This window comes from Homo sapiens, chromosome 19, assembly GCF_000001405.40.
Source record: "Homo sapiens chromosome 19, GRCh38.p14 Primary Assembly".
In the NCBI taxonomy this organism is placed as follows: domain Eukaryota; kingdom Metazoa; phylum Chordata; class Mammalia; order Primates; family Hominidae; genus Homo; species Homo sapiens.
Window position 1 is genome coordinate 7,887,124 of NC_000019.10, and position 16,682 is coordinate 7,903,805.

General features: G+C 55.3%; 1 protein-coding gene and 1 long non-coding RNA gene across 6 annotated transcripts, besides 4 other annotated features; one reads left to right on the forward strand and one right to left on the reverse strand.

Moving 5' to 3' along the window:
- Positions 1,144 to 1,842: an enhancer, noted in NCBI's record as "H3K4me1 hESC enhancer chr19:7953152-7953850 (GRCh37/hg19 assembly coordinates)". NCBI's record gives its function as "activates a minimal SCP1, AML or CMV promoter by ChIP-STARR-seq in primed H9 embryonic stem cells {active_cell/tissue: H9 hESC(primed)}" and the evidence as "EXISTENCE:reporter gene assay evidence [ECO:0000049][PMID:30033119]".
- Positions 1,266 to 1,395: a silencer, noted in NCBI's record as "silent region_9994". NCBI's record gives its function as "represses an Ori minimal core promoter by ATAC-STARR-seq in GM12878 lymphoblastoid cells {active_cell/tissue: GM12878}" and the evidence as "EXISTENCE:reporter gene assay evidence [ECO:0000049][PMID:35858748]".
- Positions 1,387 to 14,893, forward strand: LRRC8E (leucine rich repeat containing 8 VRAC subunit E). Of its 5 annotated transcripts, none has more exons than XM_047439461.1 (4): positions 1,387 to 1,477; positions 6,450 to 6,736; positions 8,476 to 8,618; positions 11,538 to 14,893. In XM_047439461.1, exons 3-4 carry the CDS (start codon positions 8,481 to 8,483, stop codon positions 13,788 to 13,790), a joined length of 2,391 nt encoding a protein of 796 aa, XP_047295417.1. In that variant the 5' UTR covers positions 1,387 to 1,477; positions 6,450 to 6,736; positions 8,476 to 8,480; the 3' UTR covers positions 13,791 to 14,893. The 5 variants fall into 5 exon arrangements, with proteins under 5 accessions (XP_047295417.1, NP_001255213.1, NP_079337.2 ...); NM_001268284.3 differs by having other exon boundaries at positions 6,594 to 6,736; NM_025061.6 differs by lacking the exon at positions 6,450 to 6,736.
- Positions 2,732 to 3,232: an enhancer, noted in NCBI's record as "H3K4me1 hESC enhancer chr19:7954740-7955240 (GRCh37/hg19 assembly coordinates)". NCBI's record gives its function as "activates a minimal SCP1, AML or CMV promoter by ChIP-STARR-seq in primed H9 embryonic stem cells {active_cell/tissue: H9 hESC(primed)}" and the evidence as "EXISTENCE:reporter gene assay evidence [ECO:0000049][PMID:30033119]".
- LOC124904630 (uncharacterized) lies at positions 14,866 to 16,391 on the reverse strand. The gene is made up of 2 exons (XR_007067121.1): positions 16,298 to 16,391; positions 14,866 to 15,626 (listed from the first exon to the last, which is right to left on the reverse strand). It is a non-coding gene; the product is annotated as an uncharacterized LOC124904630 (long non-coding RNA).
- Positions 16,031 to 16,608: an enhancer, noted in NCBI's record as "H3K27ac-H3K4me1 hESC enhancer chr19:7968039-7968616 (GRCh37/hg19 assembly coordinates)". NCBI's record gives its function as "activates a minimal SCP1, AML or CMV promoter by ChIP-STARR-seq in naive H9 embryonic stem cells {active_cell/tissue: H9 hESC(naive)}" and the evidence as "EXISTENCE:reporter gene assay evidence [ECO:0000049][PMID:30033119]".

Sequence of the window (16,682 nt, forward strand, 5' to 3'; positions counted from 1 at the left end):
TTTTTTATCTTTTTTTTTTTTTTTTTTTTTGAGATGGAGTCTCACTCTTCGCCCAGGCTGGAGTGCAGTGGCGCAATCTCGGCTCACTGCAAGCTCTGCCTCCTGGGTTCACGCCATTCTCCTGCCTCAGCCTCCTGAGTAGCTGGGACTACAGGCGCCCGCCACCACGCCCTGCTAATTTTTTTGTATTTTTGTAGAGACTGTGTTTCACTGTGTTAGCCACGATGGTCTCGATCTCCTGACCTCGTGATCCACCCGCCTCAGCCTCCCAAAGAGCTGGGATTACAGGCGTGAGCCACTGCACCCGGCCTCCAAGGTTTTTCAGACGGAGAACAGATCAAGGTCCACCTCCACAGATTTGCTCATCTAAGACCCAGCTCAGGCCTCCCAAGTGGGGCGGCCAGGGTGGGGGTGGGGAGGCAGAGAAGCTGGGCCCCCCAGGACTTCGGAGCTGCTTGTGCCCCACTCCCCACCTGGAGGGCAGACCACAGTGTTGGGCAGGGACAGACAGGAGGGCATCCCCACTCTACTCAACTTCCGTTGGTTCAGCCCAGTTCCCGCCCATGGCCAGAGCTTGAAGGGAGAAGCCGTCCCCTCCCCGTCCTCTCCTCCCGCAACTCCACTCCCAGCACCTGAAAACTGCAGTCACCTGTGCCTTGGCTGGGCTTTAAGGCCAGGTGACTGGGCCTTGCGGGGTTAGAAGGAGCCCTTCCGCACTTCCTCTTTTTCTTTTTTTTCTTTTGGAGACAGGGTCCTTCTTGGTGGCCCAGGCTGGAGTGCAGTGGCATGATCGTAGCTCGCTGCAGCCTCTCAACTTCCCAGATTCAGGTGATCCTTCCACCTCGGCCTCCAGAGTAGCTGGGACTACAGGCACACACCACCACACCTGGCTAATTTTTAAAATTTTGTTTTTGTAGGTTTTAAAATTTTTTGTAGAGATGTGGTCCCACTATATTGCTCAGGCTGGTTTCAAACTCCTAGGCCCAAGGTATCCTCCTGCCTCGGCCTCCCAAAGTGTTGGATTACAGGCGTGAGTCACAGAGCCCGGCCTCCACATTTTCTCGACAGGGTCCGTAAGACCTGGTTCCCAGAAAGGTGGCCGTAGAATGGCTTTGGGAGTTCAGCGTCCCCAGCTCCCTCAGTTTCCCCAGCTGCCAGGGTCCAGCCAGACTGCAAAGTTGCAAAGTTCTAAGACCCCTGCATCTCCCGCCAGCCCCGAGCCCACCAGGGCAAAGCAGCCTAAGACGGCTGTCTTCCCCCAACCCTGCTGATCGCGCGGCGCCTGGAGTAGGGTCGACCTGGGCGCGCCTGCGGCGAGGCGGGGCCGAGTCGTCCGGGGGCGGGGCGGGGCGGCTCCGGGTCTCCTGTCCCCGCCTGCCCTGACTCACCCTCGCGGCCCGCCCGGGAACTCTGCGGGAGTCGCGGCAGCTCCGCTCCCAGAGACCCAGGAGTTGGGCCCAGCGTCCCTCCCGGAACGGTGAGTAGGTGGCTCTTTGCCTCTGGACACCCCACGAGGTGGCAGGGTGGGGGTCGGGCTGGGAGTCCCCGGGTCTGGACAAGGGGCAGAGCCGCTCCAGGTGCGCCGGCCCTGTGGCCGGGGCAGGCCGTCCCGACACACCAGGAGCTGGGGTGGGGGTGCCGGCCGGTGCAAAGGGAAACCTGGCCCACGAGGTGCCCGTCCTGGGAGCCAGGCAGACGCGGCCAAGTCTCAGAGTGAAGATAAACAGGCTGAAGATAAACTTGACTTTGGGGGTCTCAACCACTTTCCCCTCCCCTTGGCATCTGGGAAGACATTGACAACTCATCCCCGGGAGACTCTCAGAGCTCCAGAACCTACCACTTGGGGTGGGTTCAACCAAGCCTGACCTCTGGTGCTCTTGAACTTACACATGTCCCAGATCTTCAAGTCTGCTGGCAGAGGCGGCTTGGAAAACCACTCGGCTGGGAATCCGCAGGCCTGGGGCCTGACCCAGGACGGGCTACAAAGATGCCACCCTCCCCCACCCTAGACCCTCAGTTTCTCCCTTGCATAAATGGTTGAGGCTCAGCCGGACACCGTGCCTTACGTCTATAATCCCAGCACTTTGGGAGGCCGAGGTGGGCAGGTCACCTGAGGTCAGGTGTTTGAGACCAGCCTGGCTAACACGGTGAAACCCCATCTCTACTAAAAATACAAAAATTAGTGGCGTGTCCCTGTAGTCCCAGCTACTGGGGAGGCTGAGGCTTGAGTACTGCTCGGACCCAAGAGGTGGAGGTTGCAGTGAGTTGAGATTGGGCCACTGCACTCCAGCCTGGGCAACAGAGCGACACTCCATCTCAAAAAAAAAAAAAGATTGAGGCCAGGCACAGTGGCTCACACCTGTAATCCCAGCACTTTGGGAGGCTGAGGTGGGAGGATTGCTTGGACTCAGAAGTTCAAGACCAGCCTGGGCAACATAGCGAGACTCCATCTCTACAAAAAATCTAAAAGTTGGCTGGGCATGGTAGCACGCACCTGTGGTCCCAGCTACTGGGGAGGCTGAGGCAGGAGGATCACTTGAGCCCAGGAGTTCGAGACTACTATGAGCTATGATCGTGCCACTGAACTCCAGCCTGGGTGACAGAGCAAGACTCTATCTCTCTCTCTCTCTCTTTTTTTTTTTTTCAAGATAGAGTCTTGCTCTGTTGCCAGGCCGGAGCGCAGTGGCACGATCTTGGCTCACGGCAACCTCCACCTCCCAGGTTCAAGCGATTCTCCTGCCTCAGCCTCCTGAGTAGCTGGGACTACAAGCATGTGGCACCATACCCAGCTAATCTTTGTATTTTTAGAGATGGGGTTTCATCATGTTGGCCAGGATGGTCTTGATCTCTTGACCTCGTGATCCACCTGCCTCAACCTCTCAAAGTGCTGGGATTACAGGCGTGATCCACTGTGTCCGTCAGGACTCTATGTCTAAAAAAAAAAAAAGGTTGGGCCTTGTTTTCTACAAAACCCCTCTTAGGGCTGAAAACTGCTGGATGTTTCTTGCTTCTTCCCTGCCTCTTAGCATGGGCTGTGGGTGTGGAGGGTCTCACTCTCCCACCCTTCCCCCAGCAGGAACTCATCACCACATTTTTTGGAGGCAAGTGGCTTGAGGAGGACCTGGGAGGGAGGAGGGGTGAGGCATGGGTGGATGGAGCCAGGGCTGGTGGGAGCCACATGGTCTCAGGCTGGAAAGCCTTCCAGCCTGGCCTGCCACAATGCAACACCGCTCTTAGGTGCTTTTGGCAAAGATGCTGTGGTTTTTTTGTTGTTGTTTGTTTTTTGAGATAGAGTCTTGCTCTGTTGCCCAGGCTGGATTGCAGTGGCGCAATCACGGCTCACTGCAACTTCCACCTCCTGGGTTCAAGAGATTCTCCTGCTTCAGCCGGGCACGGTGGCGCACGCCTGTAATCCCAGCTCTTTGGGAGGCCGAGGCAGGCAGATCATGAGATCAGGAGATTGAGACCATCCTGGCTAATACAGTGAAACCCCGTCTCTACTAAAATTACAAAAAATTAGCCGGGCGAGGTGGCGGGCGCCTGTAGTCCCAGCTACTCGGGAGGCTGAAGCAGGAGAATGGTGTGAACCCGGGAGGCGGAGCTTGCAGTGAGCCGAGATCACACCACTGCACTCCAGCCTGGGCGACAGAGTGAGACTCTGTCTCAAAAAAAAAAGAGATTCTCCTGCTTCAGCTTCCCCATTAGCTGGGATTATAGGTGCCCACCACCACTCCAGCTAATTTTGTATTTTTAGTAGACATGGGGTTTTACCATGTTGGGCTAGCCTGGTCTCAAACTCCTGACCTCAAATGATCTGCCTACCTTGGCCTCCCAAAGTGTTGGGATTACAGGCGTGAGCCACCGTGCCTGGCAAGATGCTGCATTTTAATTAGAGGCTGTCTCCCAAGAGGGAACAGAGCAGTTGCAATCCTACAGGCAGGACCTGGAGGTTGGATGGGTCAGGCTTCGAATGCCGCTTGGAACTGTAGAAGCTTGAGCAAGTTATTTCTCTCCCCTGAGTCTGGAAAGCAAAGTCTCCGACATCCACGCTGCCTGGGTTGGGATAAAATGAGGCATTCAGTGTCTGGTGGAGAAAGCTGAGCGTATACGTCCCATCGTTTTATTTTCCCTGGCTCTGCCCCAATTCTTCGAGCCCCTGTTCCTGGACCTTCCCACCAGCCCTGCTCAGACAAAGTGGGGGCCTATTTTATGTCTGTGGAAATTTAATGGCAGGTTTGTGAGGATCAAGTTTGAGTCATGGAGACAGATAATGATAGCCCCTGTGGCTGCCCCCCGGTCCCCTGAGTGTTGCTGCCTTCTTGTCTGCGATTGTGCACCTGGGATGGCTATTGGTGGAGCTTACACCAGGGTGGCAAGGACAGGAAGTTGGTCCCTGCTCGGGTGTGTGTGTGTGTGTGTGTGTTTGTGTGTGTGTGTGTGTGTTGTGTGATTTCTTCTGCAGCCTCCAGAGTCAGGAGTTTTTGTTTTGTTTTGTTTTTTTGAGACGGAGTCTCGCTCTGTCGCCCAGGCTGGAGTGCAGTGGCGAGATCTTGGCTCACTGCAGCTTCTGTCTCCCGAGTTTAAGCAATTCTCCTGCCTCACTCTCCTGAGTAGCTGGGATTACAGGCATCCACCACCATGCCTGGCTAATTGTTTTTGTATTTTTAGTAGAGACGAGGTTTCACCATGTTGGCCAGGCTGGTCTGGAACTCCTGACCTCAAATTATCCGCCTACCTTGGCCTCCCAAAGTGCTGGGATTACAGGCGAGAGCCACCGCGCCCGGCCCCAGTCAGTAGTGTTTTGCTTGCTGTGTTTGAGATAGGGTCTTGCCCAGGCTGGTTCATGGCTCACTGCAGCCTCTAACTCCTGGGTTCAAGCAATCCTCCCACCTCAGTCTTCCAAGTAGCTGGGACTACAGGCATGCACCACCACACCTGGCAAGATTTTAGATTTTTTTTTTTTTTTTGAGACGGAGTCTCGCTCTGTCGCCCAGGCTGGAGTACAGTTGTGCAATCTTGGCTCACTGCAGGCTCTGCCTCCCAGGTTCACGCCATTCTCCTGCCTCAGCCTCCCAAGTAGCTGGGACTACAGGCGTCTGCCACTATGCCCGGCTAATTTTTTGTATTTTTAGTAGAGACGGGGTTTCGCCGCATTAGCCAGGATGGTCTCAATCTCCTGACCTCGTGATCCACCCACCTCGGCCTCCCAAAGTGCTGGGATTACAGGCGTGAGCCACCGCACCCGGCCCAAATTTTTAGATTTTTTTGTAGAAATGGGGTCTGACTATGTTGTCCTGGCTGCTCAAACTCCTGGGCTCAAGCAATCCTCCTGCCTCAGCCTCCCAAAGTGCTGGAATTACAGGCCTGAGCCACTGCACCCAGCCTGGGGTCAGCATTCTTAGGTAAAGCAACTGAGCAGTGTCCCTGCAGGATCCTTGGAGGACTCAATGGATGGCCGGAACCAAAACAGGACGTGAGGGTCCCTGGTGCTGGGTCCCTCCGAAGCTCAGTGTGTGTACTTGGACTTTATACCCTCGTGCACAAATATGCATGACCCAAAATGACCCCAAGCGTCCATTTTGGTGGGTGCAATGTACATATTCTTCCCCTGGGGACAGTTGAGCTATCCTGGTATGTTTCTACCAGATTACATACTGGTGACCCAGGCAGACTGGGATATTTGTAGTCGGGTTTCTTTTCTCTTCTCTTCTCTTTTTTAGAGACAGGGTCTTGCTCTGTCGCCCAGGCTGGAATGCAGTAGTGCAATCTTGGCTGACTGCAACCTCCGCCTCCCGGGTTCAAGGGGTTTTCGTGCCTCAGCCTCCCGAGTAACCGGGACTACAGGCACCCTCCACCATGACTGGCTGTTTTGTATTTTTATTTTTATTTTGTTTTAGTTTTGAGACAGAGTCTTGCACTATTGTCTGGGCTAGAGTGCAGTGGCGCAATCTCAGCTCACTGCAACCTCTGCCTCCCAGGTTCAAGCGATCCTCCTGCCTCAGCCTCCCTAGTAGCTGGGATTACAGGCACCTGCCACCACGCCCAGCTAATTTTTTGTATTTTTAGTAGAGACGGGGTTTCATCACGTTGGCCAGGCTGGTCCCTAACTCCTGACCTTGTGATTTGCCTGCCTCGGCCTCCCAAAGTGCTGGGATTACAGGCGTGAGCCACCGCACCTGGCTAATTTTTGTATTTTTAATAGAGACGGAGTTTCACCATGTTGGCCAGGCTGGTCTCGAACTCCTAACCTCAAGTGATCTGCCCACCTCGGCCTCCCAAAGTATACTTGGCTTTTTGCTTAGGGCAGGGAGTGTGAATGAGCATGAGGGCCAGGCCATGGTGCGAAGGACCCTGTGCTCTGGGCACCCCCTTGCATGGATCTGGGTCTGGGTGAGTCACTGCCTGAGTCAGGGAACCCATGACTTTTTTTTTTTTTTTTCCCGAGACAGAGTCTCGCTCCGTCTCCCAGGCTAGATTGCAGTGGCACGATCTCAGCTCACCACAACCTCCGCTTCCCGGGTTCAAGCGATTCTCCTGCCTAGCTGGGACTACAGGTTCATGCCACCATGCCCGGCTAATTTTTGTATTTTTAGAAGAGACGGGGTTTCACCATGCTGGCCAGGCTGGTTTCGAACTCCTGACCTTGTGATCCGCCTGCCTTGGCCTCCCAAAGTGCTGGGATTACAGACGTGAGCCACTGCGCCTGGCCCAACCTATGACATTTTACACTTGCATGGTGAGTCCCCGTGTGGGCAGGCTGTACCCACACCCTTGCCTGCCTATCTGATTCCCCAGACTGAAGTGGGGGCCTCTGAGGGGGTAAAAGGATGTGGTCTTTCGGGACTGCTTGGCCTTTAGCTTGGTGGGTGGAGCCTGTATCCTACCTTGTTTTAACCCAGGAGTCACCCCAAAATATGGGGGGGACACAAACTGAAAAGGGAGGCTCAGACATGTCAGAACCATTGGCTGAGTCGTGGGTCAGGGGACCAGGGTTTCCCTAGATTCTTCCTGGGGAGATGGATGGGGAGCCAGAGATAACTCCCTGATGGGCAGATGCCCTCCTTCTTGGCCCAACTCCTGTCCCGTTACAGATTATCTTTGTCTTTTGTTTTGTTTGTTTGAGATGGAGTCTCACTCTGTCACCCAGGCTGGAGTGCAGTGGCACGGTCTCACTTCACTGCCACCTCTGCCTCCCCGGATCAAGACCCTCCCACCTCAGCCTCCAGAGTAGCTAGGATTACAGGTGTGTGTCACCACACCTGGTTAATTTTTTGTGTATTTTTAGTAGACTCTGGGTTTCACCATGTTGGCCTCACTGGTCTCGAACTCCTAACCTCAAGTGATCCACCTGCCTCAGCTTCCCATAGTGCTGGGATTACAGGCATGAGCCACCGCGCCCAGCCCCAGTTACAGATTATCTATCTGGACAAGGACAGGAGGCTCCCAGGAGTGGGGGAACTTGGATGTTGGCAGAAGTGGGCTGGTCTAAGGTTCCCCACCTTCCTTGTTCCACCTCCAGCCTCTGGGGAAGTAGGTACCTGCCTGGGAGAGTGACATCTCAGCTCATGCCCCACGCCCCAGTGTGATTTGTGGCTGGCCTGTCTGTATCTGTAATAGTGATAGCTTGGTCTAAAAGGAGACCCTGGGAACAGACAGAGTGGGCCGGCCAGGAGCCTGACAGCACAGCCCTAGCCTGGTCGCAGATGTCACCTGACAACTTTCCATTTGCAAATCCTCCTTCCTCCTCGGACATCCGGACACCCCATTGCCCCCTCTCAGAGCCCAGGTCTCTGGTTTCTGCCTGTGATTCTGGGCTGTAGCCCCTTTAGAAACTCAGGTGTCCTGGTCACCTCCTACCCCCAGGGCTGACTAGCCTTCAGCTTGGCAGTCCCTGCCCCTGGGGCCCTAGTAACCAGAGCCAGGCTCCAGCCGGCTTTTCCGGTTAGAGGTTGGAGGTGGTGCCCAGAGTGCCCCTGGAGGGGGTGGAGGGGCCTACGCCCCGGAAGTCCTGAGCCTTGGAACGCTTTCAGGCCTGGTGGCGGTGGGAGCCGGGGCTGGCCCAGACGCTGAGTGTCTGCAGTCAGGGAGCATCGAGGCAGATGTTTTCAGGCCTTGGTGTCAGGGGTGGGAGAGGGATGCCTCGTTTTGGGGAGGGGGCCACCCGAGGAGGCTGGAGGGCGGCGGCCCTGTGGACTATCCCTCATGTGCTCTTCGAGGTCAGACAAGTCAGATCAGGTGCAGGGGTGCCCAGAGGGGAACAGTGGCCGCTTGGTTCTGGGCAGGTGGTGACGTCTGCATGGAGGGTGACTAAGGCCAGGCTAAGAGGGAAGTGGGGGCACACACTTTGGTGGTTTGGACAAGTTTGGGCAGGGAGGGTCACAGGCCTGCCTGTGTCCGGCTCCTCGGAGGACCCCCTGCAGAGCCTCCCATCCTGAGGGTCTCTCTCTACACCCCCCGTCTCGTCCCGTCCCACAGGCAGCATGATCCCAGTGGCCGAGTTCAAGCAGTTCACGGAACAGCAGCCTGCGTTCAAGGTGCTCAAACCCTGGTGGGACGTGCTGGCCGAGTACCTCACCGTGGCCATGCTCATGATTGGGGTCTTTGGCTGCACCCTCCAGGTGAGGCCCTCCCCTGGCAAGGGGGTGTGACCAGAGGGGCGGGGCAGGTGTCTGGGGAAGTCGGGAAGCCTTCTCATCACCCAAGAAAGAGAGGAAACTGAAGACAGAGCCCCACTCAAAGGCCAATCCAGACCCCTTATCTTCCTTACCTCCATAGCCAGGAGCACCGGAGTCCCCACATTGCTATGCCATTCCATATCTTTTTTTCTTTTTTGAGACGGAGTCTCACTCTGTCACCCAGGCTAGAGTACAGTGGCATGATCTCAGCTCCCTGCAACATCTGCCTCCCGGGTACAAGCGGTTCTCCTGCCTCAGCCTCCTGAGTAGCTGGGATTACAGGCGCCCACCACCACGCCTGGCTAATTTTGGTAGTTTTTTAGTAGAGATGGGGTTTCACCATGTTAGCCAGGCTGGTCTCGAACTCCTGACCTCAAGTGACCTGCCTGCCTGGGCCTCCCAAAGTGTTGGGATTACAGGCCTGAGGCACTGCACCTGACCCTTTCTTTTTTTTTCTTTTTTTTTTTTTTCTTTTTGGCTAAAAAGAGACAGGGGCCGGGCATGGTGGCTCACACCTGTAATCCCAGCACTTTGGGAGGCCAAGGTGGGAGTATCACTTAAGGCCAGAAGTTTGAGACCAGCCTGGCCAACACGGTGAAAACCCGTCCTTACTAAAGACACAAATATTAGCCAGGCATGGTGGTGGACACCTGTAATCCCAGCTACTTGGAAGGCTGAGGCAGGAAAATTGCTTGAACCTGGGAGGTGGAGGTTGCAGTGAGCCGAGATCATGCCACTGCACTCCAGCCTGGGTGACAGAACGAGACTCCATCTTAAAAAAAATAAAATAAAATAATTGAAAATTAAAATAAAGAAACACGGTCTCATTCTGTCATCCAGGTTGGAGTGCAGTGGCATGATCACAGCTCACTGCAGCCTTGAACTCCTGGACTCAAGTGATCTTCCCGCCTCAGCCTCCAGAGTAGCTGGGATTACAGGCACACACCACCACGTCCAGCTAATTTTTAAATTTCTTGTTGACACAGGGGTCTTGCTATGTTGCCCAGGCTTGTCTCGGACTCCGGGCCTCAAGCCATCCTCCCACCTCGGCCTCCCAAAGTGCTGGGATTACAGGTGTGAGCCACTGTGTCCAGCCCCATATTTTCACAATGCTCAGTTTTATCCCTAGAATCTGGAAAGGACTGCAGTTGCTATATGAGTTTGTTACTTCTGTTGTAACAAAGTAGCAGGGATTGAGTGGCTTAAATAACCAGAAATGTTTCCTCTTCTGGGTCTGGTTCTGGAGGCCAGAAGTCTGAGATCAAGGCGTCAGTTGTCAGTGAGGGAGAATCTTCCAAGCTTCCCTCCTAGATTTTTGCAGCTCCAAGAGTTCCTTGGCTTGTAGATGACATTCTCCCAGTATTTTTCTTTTTCTTTTTCTTTTTTTTTTAGACAGAGTCTCCCTCTGTCGCCCAGGCTGGCATGCAGTGGTGCGATCTCGGCTCACTGCAACCTCCGCCTCCCGGGTTCCAACAATTCTCCTGGCTTAGCCTCCCAAGTAGCTGGGATTACAGGCGTGTGCCACCACGCCCGGCTAATATTTTTTTGTATTTTTAGTAGAGACGTGGTTTCAGTATGTTGGCCAGGCTGGTCTTGAACTCCTGACCTCGTGATCAGGATCAGCCTGCCTCTGTCTCCCAAAGTGCTGGGATTACAGGCATGAGCCACTGCGCCTGGTCGAGACAGTTTTTTTTTTTTTTTTTTAAGCAAGCTCTGTCACCTAGGCTGGAGTGCAGTGGCGCAATAATAGCTCACTGTAACCTTGTACTCCTGGCCTCAAGCAATCCTCCTCTACCACCCCCGCTTGGCCCCCCCTCCCACTGCCTCCCAAATCACTGGGATTACAAGCCTGAGCCACCGCACCCAGCCTCTCCCTGTATCCTCACGTCATCTTCTGTCTTTGTGTCTGTCTCTGTGTCTATGTTTCCCCTTTCTCTAAGGCGCAGTCATACTGGGCCCACCCTACTGGCTTTGTCTTGACTACCTCTGCAAAGACCCTATTACCAAACAGGAGCCGCCTGACCCAGCTCAAATAATACCACATTCTAAGGATTCGGAGTTGGGACTTCAACATCTTTTGTGGGGACACGATTCAACCCAGCTCCTTTTCTCAGACAAAGACCAGTGCTTTGTCAGTTGTGGTGGCTCATTCCTGTAATCCCAGCACTTTGGGAAGCTGAGGCAGGGGATCACTTGAGGCCAGGAGTTCGAGAGCAGCCTGGCCAACATGGTGAAACCCCATCTCTACTAAAAATACAAAAATTAGCTAGGCGTGGTAGTGCGTGCTTGTAGCCCCGGCTACTCAGCAGGCTGAGGCAGGAGAATTGCTTGAACCAGGAGGGGAAGGTTGCAATGAGCCAAGATTGCACCACTGCACACAGCCTGACAGAGCGAGACTCTTGTCTCAAAAAAAAAAACCAAAAAAAAAAAAAACAGTGCTTAGAGGTTTAGCAAAACTCTTCCAAAATCACAGCTGGCTGGCAACAGTCAGAGATGGGGGGTGCGGGGGGTCTCCCACCTTCAGCCTGCTTTTTCCCCATCCCCCTCATTTTCTCTCTTTTTTAAATTAATTTATTTTTGAGACAGAGGCTCACTCTGTCACCCAGGCTGGAGTACAATGGCGCGATCTCGGCTCACTGCAACCTCCATCTTCCGGGTTCAAGCGATTCTCCTGCCTCAGCCTCCCGAGTAGCTGGGATTACAGGTGCCCACCACCATGCCCGGCTAATTTTGTATTTTTAGTAGAGACAGGGTTTCACCACGTTGGCCAGGCTGGTCTCGAACTCCTGACCTAAAGTGATCCACTCGCCTTGGCCTCCCAAAGTGCTAGGATTACAGCCCTCATTCTCTTTTGCTCCTCAGGTGACACAGGACAAGATCATCTGTCTACCCAATCATGAGCTCCAGGAGAACTTATCAGAGGCCCCGTGCCAGCAATTGCTGCCTCGGGGGATCCCTGAGCAGATTGGGGCCCTGCAGGAGGTTAAAGGCCTTAAGAACAATTTGGACCTGCAGCAATACAGCTTTATTAACCAGCTGTGTTATGAGACGGCCCTGCACTGGTATGCCAAGTACTTCCCTTACCTCGTGGTCATTCACACACTCATCTTCATGGTCTGCACCAGTTTCTGGTTCAAGTTCCCTGGCACCAGCTCCAAGATTGAACACTTCATCTCCATCCTGGGCAAGTGTTTCGACTCTCCATGGACCACCAGGGCCCTATCCGAGGTCTCCGGGGAGAACCAGAAGGGCCCAGCAGCCACCGAACGGGCTGCGGCCACCATAGTGGCCATGGCAGGGACCGGGCCGGGGAAGGCAGGGGAGGGTGAGAAGGAGAAAGTGCTGGCGGAACCGGAGAAGGTGGTGACCGAGCCTCCAGTTGTCACCCTGTTGGACAAGAAGGAGGGTGAGCAAGCCAAAGCCCTGTTTGAGAAGGTGAAGAAGTTCCGCATGCACGTGGAAGAGGGCGACATCCTGTACACCATGTACATCCGACAGACGGTGCTGAAAGTGTGTAAGTTCCTGGCCATCCTGGTCTACAACCTGGTCTATGTGGAGAAGATCAGTTTCCTGGTGGCCTGTAGGGTGGAGACGTCAGAGGTCACGGGCTACGCCAGCTTCTGCTGCAACCACACCAAGGCCCACCTCTTCTCCAAGCTGGCCTTCTGTTACATCTCCTTTGTGTGCATCTACGGACTTACCTGCATCTACACGCTCTACTGGCTCTTCCACCGGCCCCTCAAGGAGTACTCCTTCCGTTCCGTGCGGGAGGAGACTGGCATGGGGGACATTCCTGACGTCAAGAATGACTTCGCCTTCATGCTGCACCTCATCGATCAGTACGACTCCCTCTACTCCAAGCGCTTCGCCGTCTTCCTGTCCGAGGTCAGCGAAAGCCGTCTAAAGCAGCTCAATCTCAACCACGAGTGGACGCCCGAGAAGCTTCGACAGAAGCTGCAGCGCAATGCCGCGGGCCGGCTGGAGCTGGCCCTCTGCATGCTGCCGGGTCTGCCCGACACCGTCTTTGAGCTCAGTGAGGTGGAGTCACTCAGGCTGGAGGCCATCTGCGATATCACCTTCCCCCCGGGGCTGTCACAGCTGGTGCACTTGCAGGAGCTCAGCTTGCTCCACTCGCCCGCCAGGCTACCCTTCTCCTTGCAGGTCTTCCTGCGGGACCACCTGAAGGTGATGCGCGTCAAATGCGAGGAGCTCCGCGAGGTGCCGCTTTGGGTGTTTGGGCTGCGGGGCTTGGAGGAGCTGCACCTGGAGGGGCTTTTCCCCCAGGAGCTAGCTCGGGCAGCCACCCTGGAGAGCCTCCGGGAGCTGAAGCAGCTCAAGGTGTTGTCCCTCCGGAGCAACGCCGGGAAGGTGCCAGCCAGTGTGACCGACGTTGCTGGCCACCTGCAGAGGCTCAGCCTGCACAACGATGGGGCCCGTCTGGTTGCCCTGAACAGCCTCAAGAAGCTGGCGGCATTGCGGGAGCTGGAGCTGGTGGCCTGCGGGCTGGAGCGCATCCCCCATGCAGTGTTCAGCCTGGGTGCGCTGCAGGAACTTGACCTCAAGGACAACCACCTGCGCTCCATCGAGGAAATCCTCAGCTTCCAGCACTGCCGGAAGCTGGTCACGCTCAGGCTGTGGCACAACCAGATCGCCTACGTCCCTGAGCACGTGCGGAAGCTCAGGAGCCTGGAGCAGCTCTACCTCAGCTACAACAAGCTGGAGACCCTGCCCTCCCAGCTCGGCCTGTGCTCAGGCCTCCGTCTGCTGGATGTGTCCCACAATGGGCTACACTCCCTGCCACCCGAGGTGGGCCTCCTGCAGAACCTACAGCACCTGGCCCTCTCCTACAATGCCCTGGAGGCCCTGCCCGAAGAGCTCTTCTTCTGCCGCAAGCTGCGGACGTTGCTTCTGGGCGACAACCAGCTGAGCCAGCTCTCGCCCCACGTGGGTGCCCTCAGAGCCCTCAGCCGCCTGGAGCTCAAAGGCAACCGCTTAGAGGCGCTGCCAGAAGAACTTGGCAACTGTGGGGGGCTCAAGAAGGCGGGGCTCCTGGTGGAAGACACGCTTTACCAGGGTCTGCCGGCAGAAGTGCGGGACAAGATGGAGGAGGAATGAAGCTGGGGTGGGGCCGTTTTAGGTAGAGCCTTAAAAATGCTTCTGCCCTGGAATCTCAACCATTGTCTTCCAAGATAGGAAGCCAAGTGGGTCCAGGCCAGGAGATGGGGGGGGCGGGGGCAGCTGTGTCATCTTTCTGGGGCCCAGGAGGATCTGGGCTGGTTTGTCTGGGGAGACAGACAGGATGTTGTGGAGCTGGGGTGGAACCTGGTATGGAGGGATTAACTCAGTCATGGCATTCTCCGACCAAAACCACACCTGTGTCTCTGGCAGGCTGGCTGGCCTTGCTCCCATCCCTAGAACTGCTGCCTCTCCCTGGATATTCCAGCTCAATTAGTGCCACATATGGGGGAAACGACACATCCCAGTGGGATTTCCAACACTCCCCCTCCCCATGCAACAAAGCAACTTACTTCTGGAGTTCTCTCCCAAGGAGAGGACACAGACACAGTTGTTTGCTGTGTTATATGTTAGCTCCGAACAATGGTTCTCATTTGGCTAAGCATCAAAATCACCTAGGGAGTCGGTGCAAAACAAAATATCCCAGTCCCCTCCCCTGAAACACTGACTCAGGAGGTTTGGTTGGGGGCCAGGAGTCTGTTCCTAAATATTCCAGGTAGTTCTGGTGCAGGTAAGTGGCCCTGAGACAGTATGTTGGGAAATGCTGACGTAAAGGTATCAGGGCCGGGCGCTGTGGCTCATGACTATAATCCCAGCTGTTTGAGAGGCCAATGCAGGAGGATGGTTGAGCTCAGGAGTTCGAGATCAGCCTGGGTAACATAGCGAGACCCCACCTCTGCCAAAAAAAAAAAAAATAGGGTATCCAAATATCTAGATTCTGATCCCTTTTGAGGTCCTAGACCCTTTGAGAAACTGATGAAGCCAGGCACCTCCTTCCTCAGGAAAATGCTGGTGTACAAATACACACAAAGCTCTTCAGGCAGCTGATAGATTTCCCCCAGAGAGCTATTCAAGGACTTCCTAAGGTGGGTGGACTGCAGGGTTAGGACACCTGCTATAGAGGTGACATTTTTCCAAGGACAAGCAGGGACTTTGGTCTTGACTGTTCTCTGGGTGCTTAATAAATAATACTAATTATGCAAGTTCTAGTTTTGATCTCTTATGTGCACTCCTGTCATTGTCTAACACCGTCCATTAGGGCCAGACATAGTGGCTCATGCTTGTAATCCCAGCGCTTTGGGAGGCTCAGGTGGGAGGATCGCTTGAGCTCAAGAGCTTGAGACCAAACTGGGCAACATAGTGAGATCTCATCTCTACAAAAACATACAAAAAAAAGTTGGCCAGGTGTGCTGATGTGTGCCTGAGGTCCCAGCTACTAGGCAAGCAGAGGCAGGAGGATTGCTTGAGCCCAGGACCCAGGAGGTTGAGGCTGCAGTGAGCTGTGATCACACCACTCCACTCCAGCCTGAGCAACAGAACAAGACCCTGTTTTTCTTTCTTTTTTTTTTTTTTGAGACGGAGTCTGGCTCTGTCACCCAGGCTGGAGTGCAGTGGCGCAATCTTGGCTCACTGCAACCTCCGCCTCCTGGGTTCAAGCAATTCTCTGCCTCAGCCTCCCAAGTAGCTGGAATTACAGGCGCCTGCCACCATGCCCGGCTAATTTTCGTATTTCTAGTAGACACGGGGTTTCACCATCTTGGCCAGGCTGGTCCTCTCCTGACTTCGTGATCCATCCGCCTCGGCCTCCCAAAGTGCTGGGATTACAGGCGTGAACCACCATGCCCGTAACCTTTTATTTCATGTGACCAAGTAACACCCGTGTGCCAGAATCAAGGATGAGTCTCATGTTCTCAGAGCAGAGGCACAGAAGGCTGCCTGGAAGACGGAAAGGTAAAGACCTCAGCTATAACTCTACACTTGTGTGTGCTCCACCCACAAATCGTCACCAGAGGAGTTCCGACAAGCCGGTAACTCTCATCCCAAAGTGTTCCCTCGTTGGACCAGAAGCTGGAAGGGCACTTGGCAGAGTCTGCCTGGCCCTGGCCACCTCCCGGGTGTCCGCAAAATCAGAACTTCCTTCTCGCATCTAAGAGCAGAGGGAAGCCGCTCTTGGGGGGATCCCTGGGTTCCAGATGGGACATTTCCCCAGCACCCGTCGGACCACTTAAAGGAGTGGTTTAGGCTGCCGGGGGCCCAAGCACTGGCACCTAACCCCAGCGCCCCTCCTCAGATAGGAATTCTCCACGTCCAGGCGCTGGGCTCACGTTCCGGGTGCGAGAGAGATAAGGGGGGTGTCTTGAGGTTCTATGTGGGTCTGGCCAACAACTCTGGCCTTGACCTTGGCCCCGTCGCCGAGGGCAGGGGTCACACCGCTGGGTTCCCATGGCCGTCCCCTCCCCCCTGGCTTCGGCCAACTCTGAGCCTGCTGGGGCTGGCAAGAAGGGAAAGGGCTCTCGACGGAGCCTAATTACGGTGAGGAGGCGGCACCCCGCTGCCAGCAGGAGGCTAGGAGGTAATTAAGCACAAGAGGAATCCTAATAAAGCACCATCAGTGAGGAAGGCATTCCGAAGGGACGCCCAAGCCGACCGTGAAAAGCGAGGAGGCTGAGGCTGCACCGCCGTGGAGACCAGGGATCGACTGCCGCTTTGGGAACGAGGTTCCAGGAATGCGCATGCGCAAAAGCCACGCGGGCGAACACGGCTTCGCCTCGCTAAGCATGCGCGCCGTTTTCCCCGCCCACCGTCCTCAGAAGAATGGTGTTTCCTCGCAGCGCCTCTCTCAGGAGCGATCGGGAATTGGCGCATGCGCACTACGGTGGTGGTGGCGACGAAGGCGGGGGTTGCACGTTGCCTGCCTCGAGCTCTAGGTGGCGTCATCCTTCGGGCTGAGCCGAAGCACGCACGCGCGGAGGTTCGCACGCGGAGAAGGGC